The sequence below is a fragment of the Homo sapiens genome, chromosome 5 (genome assembly GCF_000001405.40).
Source record: "Homo sapiens chromosome 5, GRCh38.p14 Primary Assembly".
Taxonomy (NCBI): Eukaryota; Metazoa; Chordata; class Mammalia; order Primates; family Hominidae; genus Homo; species Homo sapiens.
This window is the reverse complement of record NC_000005.10, coordinates 19,458,710-19,467,843: the sequence shown is the minus strand read 5'-3', so window position 1 is coordinate 19,467,843 and position 9,134 is coordinate 19,458,710.

Sequence of the window (9,134 nt, the reverse complement as noted above, 5' to 3'; positions counted from 1 at the left end):
GTGGCCTGATCTCTGTTTTAGAAAACTGCATTTTTCATTAACATCTACCTGTCAGTGCCAATATATTCAAGAGTCTAGAGTTATGTGTACCTACAGAGAAAATATTAGACTATTTTAATTATTTCTAAAATATAATTACCTATTTTAGGACTATACCTAGAGAAGTTTTTTAACTTCTCTAGGTATAGGCATAGTTATTATACATTTCAGCTTAGATTGTTGGATTCATAGAATTTTATTGATTTGTTCATCTTAACAAAAATAAAATGACAAGAGAGACAATTTTAAGAACAACATTTATTCACATAAATTTATTCTTAACTGGATAAATGTGTCTATTTTCTATAATCATTGTTTTAGATATAAACATATTTTTGAACTAAAAAAAATTCATATACCAAAGACCAGATTGATGCCTTAGTGTGACTACATCAGTTATTTTTAATAAATTATTTTTAATGCATATCAGCACAAATATCACATACTCTTGTGTTTCATTATATAATAATTTATATTCAGATTTATTTTCAAAAAGCATCAATCATACAATATGAAGATGCAATTATTTATTAATATGACGGGTATACTTAGCCTGAAATCCCAACTTTTATATCTTCTGTTTCTCCCTTTTTCTTGTTTCATTTTTACATGCTTACTTTTTACAACCTTTGAAACCTATGTTTGAATATTTTCTATATTTCATGTATTTTTCAGAACAAATTCAAGAAAATGTTTTTCAGAAATAGAAAGTAGTCATGTTGTTTTCAGAGTTTTTATTTTTTAACTCAGTTTCTTCTTTGTCACTAATCATGTTCTTCCTCATCAAAAAGTAATAAAAAATTTGCGTTCATAAAAATGCTCTGTGACAGTCACTTTCCTGTGAGCCTGAGGTTTTATTTAATGATGTGGTTTGGCTTTGTAGCTTTCACAACAATGTATATTTCTAATCTTCTGTAAATAATCCTGCTTTTAGTCTTCCAAAGATAGCTGGGGGGGGAGTTTTATTCATATAAAATATGTTAAATTTCACATGAAATTTTAAAAATCAAAATGGCTTTGATGATCCATTTTGTAAGCCACTAAAATTATAACTGAAATTAAAATAGTCCTTTACTCTTTATAAAGCATTTTCAATACCATGTTATAAAAGTTAGATTTATAACCATTATTTTAAAAAATATGTATGAATTTACAGATGCCCGTTTCTTTACATAAAAGAAAATTTGCAAAGTTGTTTCTTCAGGAGTCCTAACACTGAATAAATTTCCCACGTTTCATCACCTAAGTGATATTTTCTCTTTTCCATTGCACATAAATTTTACAACATTGAGCACACAATGATAAGTAAGTGACTTATGATACGCCAATCAAATAACCCAATTTAAAAAAACTTTAAGAGTGTATATTGAGTTCAGGAGCTCAAGACCTGCCTGGGAAAGAAAGTGGGAAAAGATGTACAAATTAGCCAGATGTGGTGGTGCACACCTGTAATCCCAGCTACTTTGGTGGTGCACGCCTGTAATCCCAGCTACTTTGGTGGTGCACGCCTGTAATCCCAGCTACTTTGGTGGTGCACGCCTGTAATCCCAGCTACTTGGCAGGCTGAGGCAGAAGGATGGCTTGAGACTGGGATGCTGAGGCTGCAGTGAGCGGTGATCACACCACTGCACTCCATCCTGGGCAACAGAGCAAGACCCTGTCTCACAAAAGATAACCAAAACAAAAACAACAATAAAAAACTGTATCTTCTAATTTTGATTAAAGTACAATGCAAAACCTTCTTCTAATTTTTACAGAGGTAAATTCTCCCCAGAATATAATTTCCAAGCTGTGGAAAGGCATCTCCTCTCATCTGTGCCTTCCCATCAACCTTCATCACTATCTTCTTTCCCTTGCCAAGTCTTAAGTTAGCATCCCCCTTGCCATTGGCTGTCTCAGTTTCGGATTGAGAGAATGAGTGAATACCGAAAAGTAGAATGTTTACTAGGACAAACAGTTTTGAAAATAAACAGGTCATGATTCAGCTTCTTGATTCCAATCAGTGTCTTGAATTAAAATATGGAACAGGATAATATTAATAGAAATAATTTCTACCTAAATGAGGTTGTAGGGGAAACAAATGTATGGGAGTCTGAGCTTCAGAACTTGTAGTCCGGAATCTGTGACTATAACTAATTTCATACCTTTAAATGTTAATTTACACATTGTGTACACTTCCCTTCAATTTAAGATAGAAATAATATCTTTATATTGACCTCACAGGGTTGTTATGAATATCAGATATAATTGTCTGCGTGAAACACAGAAAAAGGTAAAGTTTTTGGCAAATTTGGTAACCATATTATTATGGCATCTTTATTGTTCCCTTAATCTTTCCCAGCCTCAAAAAATTGTCACTTTGGTTATATTTAACAAGTAATCAATTTTCTGCAAAGTGTAAGCAAGGAAAACAAGCCATTCCAGGATTAGGTCATTTGATTCATCTTTTCACCATGCGAAGGACAAAGGAAAGTATAAAATTCACAGTTATACTATGTGTATTGAATTTCCTTCAGACTTAGTAAGACAAAATCTAAATATAAAATGACAAATTAGAATTGTGTTATAAATTATGCTCTTTACATTTCATCTCTTTTTTAGCATGTATATAAAAATCAGTTCCACTTGAGATAATTATTTAAAAGCAAATGAAAATTCATTCTTGGACTTTAAAAATGTATATATAATTTAGCTGGGCTAGGCAGCTCATGCCTGTAATCCCAGCACATTGGGAACCTGAGGTGGTAGGATTTCTTCAGCCCAGGAATATGAGACCAGACTGAGCAACATAGTAAGACCCTGTTTCTCTAAATTTTTTTTTTAAAGTATCCGGGTGTGGTGGCACATGCCTGTAGTCCCAGCTGCTCAGAAGGCTGAGGCAGGAGGGTGGCTTGAGCCCAGGAGGTCAAGGCGGCAGTGAGCCATGATTGCACCACTGTACGTCAGCCTGGGTGACAGAGCAAGACCCTGAGACCATGTCTCAAAAAAGAAAGAAAGAAAAATATAATTGAAATGTTTACAGCAATAATATTTGGGGATATGTTAAAACTCTAAATATTAAAGAGAAAGAGAACTCATTAGCATAGTCATGAAGTATATTTTGCATGTTCAAGGAAACATACTTCTATATCATTTGAGTCTGTTCTTCAGTTTTAATCAAAGAAATATGTCCCTATTTTAAACAGCATTTGGACAAAATAAAAATGGTTTCACCTGCCAGGCAATAAAACTTCATATTCCACATATAGAAAGAGAAATAATTTGTTTTCATAGAACATAGCTTTGTTTTGATGAAGTAAGTTTTCTCAGCACACAGTGACTTAAAGCAGGTCTTATCAGAAATAAGATTATATTTTTTGAAGAAATTTCAGCCCCTCTCTGTCAAATGACAGCTTAACCTTGTTTACTGAAAAGGCAGAAATCACAGGTTAAGTAAAATAACAGAATTCCACATCTTTGCCTTCAACCTTTCCAAATCTTACTTTGTTTCAATGAACGACTTTGACATCTACAAGTCTTCCTAGATCCCACTGAAGTCAGCTTCGCTAGCTACATGTTTTTTCTTTCAGTTACTTAAAAAATTGTTCTGTCAAATTTTTATTCAGCCTTTATCCCAAGAAGACCACTGAAGATGTTAAAAATAATTACTTAGAAAAAAATCAGAGTATTGGTGAAATTGCACCATTTTCTAAGAGTATCACTCCCTGGTACACTTAATAACTTATTTTTACCAGTGGTTTCTTAAAGGTGATCAACAGTCTAGCTAGGTTATACTTAATTTCTTGAAGAACAAGTTTAAAAATAGCAGAACTGAATGTTTATCCTCAACATAAAGGTTATGACAATTTTATTTACTATGAAACAGACCATGACAGTAGGGAAGAGAAGTAAATAAAGAATTGTTTTATAAAATGCTGGGGACCATGCCTGGAAGTTTAAGGCCGGGGGTAGAGAAAAAGAGGTTAGAAAATTTGAGGTTGAAGAGTTTTGTTTTATTTTGTTTTTTTTTTTGTTTTGTTTTGTTTTCAAATGGCATTGGGGAAACTTATTTCCTTCTGGTCAGTGACACTTTTAAATAAGAAAACATGCCTACCACTAAGCACAGACACCAACGAAGGCCAGTTTGGCCAATCAAATGAGAAAAGGGGCATAAAAAGACCAAAGAGTTGAAACACGAAAATAAATGCTTTATATTGCCCAAATGATTGCAACAAAACACTTAGTCAATTGAGACTAAATGACTAATAGCAGTCATTTTCTGTATAACCTTTAGAAGACAAATATTTGGTAATAGGAAAAGGGACTTAGTGTGGGTTTCTTCTTAGGGAAGTTCACAATCGTTAGTTTTTCAGATAGAAATTGGCAGAAGAAATAAAACTACCCAAATATAATATGGAGGAAAAATTTCAGGGATCAAAACCAAATTAGCATAGGAGGAATAAATCATCAGTCTGAGGACGTACAGCTAGATCTGAAGTCCAGGTCAAGGTTCTGATAGAAAACGTGTTAGGGCAAGCATAGAAACAGTAGCAAAGTTTGCCAGTCCCATATGAGTATTGGATGCATCCCATGTGAAGGTGTGAATATATATATATATTTGCATACCTGAGAACATTAAGCTTTTCCAGGAAAAGATAGTTGAAAAACATCAACCCTGGTCTTAAGTACCTTAAGGTATTTCAAAATATTTTAATCTAGAAAAATAGCAGTAGATAAATCCTATCACAATTAAAAAGTTATGAATAAAAATTACCTCTCAGGTATCCATAAGTTGTGGCTAGAATGGAGGAGAAAATAGAATCTGAAGGAGTGGCCAGGTTTTCTTCTAGATTCTGCATCATACCTAGTCTATGTCAGGATTTTCACATATGGGGTGATGTTTGAGTGTTTATACTTAGATGTTCATGATTAGTTATGGTATAATGACATGGTGTTATTATCGACTCCCTATAATCTCTCCAACGAGCTCTCAAACTTAAATTGGGATTATTGTTTATCAGATGCATGTATTATCATAAAGTAGATCAATCTACAAAGCATGGCTGCTGCTGGATTATTGTCAGTGCAGTCATTGAATTCCACGGAGAAAAGAAGAAACTGTCTTTAGAGGAAACACAAATCAATAAACAAACAAACTACTACTGTTGATGAAAATCAGATTAAATAGTTTATTTAGTCATAAAATACACTTAAATTTTATAACTAATAATTATGTATGCATGTATGAATTAAGAAAAATAAGAAAAATAGAATATTTGAACTTCCCTTTGAGCATATTCTTAATTATATTAACTTCTATTCTCCCAGACGTAGCCACTCTTTTGACTGTTGCTTTTGCTTACAACTTCTGCAGTGTGTATTTTTGCACCTTATTTCAAGTGAATCATAGTTTAGGTATTCTTCTGTGATTTTCTTTTTCTTAGTCTTTTTTGAATTCTCAAATGCTTTGTCCCTAGTTGAAGCATTTGTTTCTGGATTTCATACAGTAGTATTAGTCAGTCATCTGCTGCTATTGGAGAGTTCTCAGGAATCTCCCAGAAGAGTGGTTCATGTCAGTCTAAGATAATTATGCAAAAAAGGCACCCACGACAGCTTGAAATAGTGCACCCACCAGTAAAGGGAATCTAGGTGGGCCACCAACAATATCTGGCTTGTGAGTTCTCCTCCTTCAGAGTGTTAATTGCCACACTTTCTAATGTTTATAAAAACATTGCATTCCTAAAAAGGACTCAAATGGTATACATTATTTTAATAGAAATTGATGAAATCAATCTGCTAATATGCTTTGCCTTTTTTTTTGTATCTGTATTCATGAGTGAAATATAATTTCTCACACCATTTTTTCTAATTTTGGTGTCAAGGTTATTCTAGCATCAAAATAGAATTTAGGGACTTTCAGCATATTTTTATTCTCTGAGATACTTTACAGATTAAAAAAATTGTTCTTTGAAAACTTCTTGGGATTCATCTGAAATATTATCTGGGCTTATATTGTAGGAATGAGCCAAAGAAAACAAGAGTGAAATTACCAACTACAGTCACATGTTCAATGCTTAAAGGCACATTTAGATTTTCTGATTATTTTTTAGTCAGTTTCTGTAAAATTAAACTGTTCCAGGTTTTTGTTTGTTTGTTTTGTTTTGTTTTGTTTTGTTTTTTTGAGACGGAGTCTCGCTCTGTCACCCAGGCTGGAGTGCAGTGGCGTGATCTCGGGTCACTGCAACCTCCGCCTCCCGGGTTCAAGCCATTCTCCTGCCTCAGCCTCTTGAGTAGCTGGGACTACAGGCACGCGCCGCCACGCCCAGCTAATTTTTGTATTTTTACTAGAGACGGGGTTTCACCTGTTGGCCAGGATGGTCTCGATCTCTTCACCTCGTGATCCGCCCGCCTCGGCCTCCCAAAGTGCTGGGATTACAGGCGTGAGCCAGTGCGCCTGGCCGATATTTTTTCTTTTAAAAACATTTAAGCATTTTTAGTTACTAAATACTATTATGATGTTAATATTTTTTCAATATCTACTACCTCTGCATTTAGCTCTCCCTTTTTATCCTAAAATGTTTTAAGCCTCTTCTGTTTTCTTTTTCTCACACATGCAAGAAATTTGTCAATTTTATCACTTTTCAATCAATACATTACAATACATGTCAATCAATTTTGATATAACATCTTTAAAAAATTTTTTCTGATTTCTATTCTCAGCTTCACATACTTTCAACTTCTTACTGCTTTATTTTGATTCTTTAATTGACTTTTATTAAATACTTTGTTTGAAACAACTAATATGTTCAGATTTTCTTAGTTTCTAATACTAACCAGGATACTAATTTCCCCCACCTCTTTGTAACTGTTTTATTTATATTCATTAAGTCGTTAGTATCTCCTATAACACACAGGAGCCTACGTCTCAGTGTTCATCAGAATAGAAGTTTATTTCTTGCTTGGGTTTGGTCTAAATAAGTCTTCCTGATTGTAGTTGGATCTCCCCCAAGCAGTGGTCCATAAATCCAGCTACCTTCCATTTCATATCTCTGATATCACCAAGGATCCTTTGCATCCATGGAGAAAATGTGGCCCACTGCTTCATCACTTCCGCTCATATTCCATTTGGTGAGATCTTGGTATTTTGGTGAGATCAGGCTCACCTAGAGGCAAGAAAGAGTGTAAAATGTCACTGATTATGTAGCCATTTACCAAAAATAAACCTTCTGGAAAAGAGAGCAGGAATATTCGGCAGACAGCGCTTAATCTTTGCCACAATATGAACCAAAACTGTATGTACGGTAATCATCGTGATTCACTTTTAAACAACTTCATTTGCCATTAGGCTTTTCTCTTGAACAAAGAGATAATGAAAACTTTTAAAAAAATTGCTAAATTTTCTTCATTTGTTAATTGTATTTGCCATGTGTTTTTAATTTTCTTGCATTGTGGGCAAATAATTTTGTCTGAATTATACCATTTTTAAACTTTTTTTGAAATTCATTCTGTGCAAAGTATGGGCTCTGTTTTAAAAAGACACTGAATTATCTTAAAAACATTGTGCATTCTTCATCTCATGAGTAAATGTTTCCAAAAATTTCAATTATTAATCACATTTTTGCTTAAAAAAATCAAGTAGTGACACAAGTGGACATATTCTCATTCCGATTATGTATTTTTTAATTTCTTTGTAATATTGTTCATTTTGCCACATACATTTTAATGTTGTACTACATTTTTACACACAGTTTTAGAACCATAGCTTCAATTTGGATATTTGCGTATAGTAACATTTTCTGTTTCTAGTAGTGGTTTTTATTTTAAAGTATAATTTGTTTCATATTACATAGCTTTTCTACTCTCCATTTAAGTGATATATTTTATGCTCTTCTGTGTTCACTTTTTTGCCCTTATATGCTACGAGTAGATCTTGTAAATTATATATACTTATAATTACACATTTACTTCCATGCACACAAATATACCACTTCACTTCCTTTCATATTTTATCAAACAAAATGTCACAAACCTATACCAACCTGAAGCTAATTACTAAGTTCATTCATCTGCGAAAAAAAGAGAACAAGCAACATTGATCAACAGCATATCGTGATTTTTGTCATATTTGGTTTTAGTTTTACAATGTTAATTTTTAAATTATTGTTAATGATAGTAATATCTTTTTAATTCCATTTTGTTTTGAATATTTCTTGCTATAATATTTTATATGACATATTTAGAAATCATAGCTTTAACTTTTTAAAAAATATATAATGACATTCTTGACCTGTAACATGTATGCTTTGCTCAACGAAGTTGAAAAATGAATAAAAATTATTATTTGTTGGCATGAATTTCAGAACATTTTATGAAAATTACTATCCTAACAACTTATACTGTCCTGTACCCAATATTTACTTCTAATTTGTTCTGTTGGTCATATTTAATCTTTGTCTAAGTTTTCACAATACTTACCTTATATTTAACACCATGTTGGCCATTTTCCTTACAAAAAATTCACTGAATCTTAAATATATTCCTGGGATCAATTTTCTAAATAATTTTATTTTTTATAAGTTATCTTTGACTTGTGTTCAGTATGTCTTGATTTTGCTGTGATTTTAGAAGCAAAGTTTTACCTTTTTTTTTTTCTAGCTAGGGCAATGTACTGCCCTGAAATTGTTTATGTAATATTTCTCTGTGTTTTCGCTTCTATTGCTTCTGACTAGAAGTGAGTTCATACCCAGCTTGGCTTTTTTGTTTGTTTGTTTTTTGTAGTAACTTGCTCTTCTCTGACTGTTTTAAACTTCTTTATTTTTGTTTTTGGTGTTCCTGAATTATAAATTTTGAATTTTGCATATTATGTATTTACCTGTAAACATGTTTGTATTTATAACTTTGGGGACCTGCCATGCTTCTTGAATATGATAATTTATTCTTTCATTTATATAAATGTATTCACCATTAATTATCTTTTCAAATATTGGCTTATTTGTATTTCTTCTACCTTACGCTCTTGTATTTTAGATTTCACTTTCACTTCCCAGTGTCTTAACTACTCTTTAATATTGTTTTTATATTTTATCTATCTGTTCTGCATTCTGGATAACGTTTTC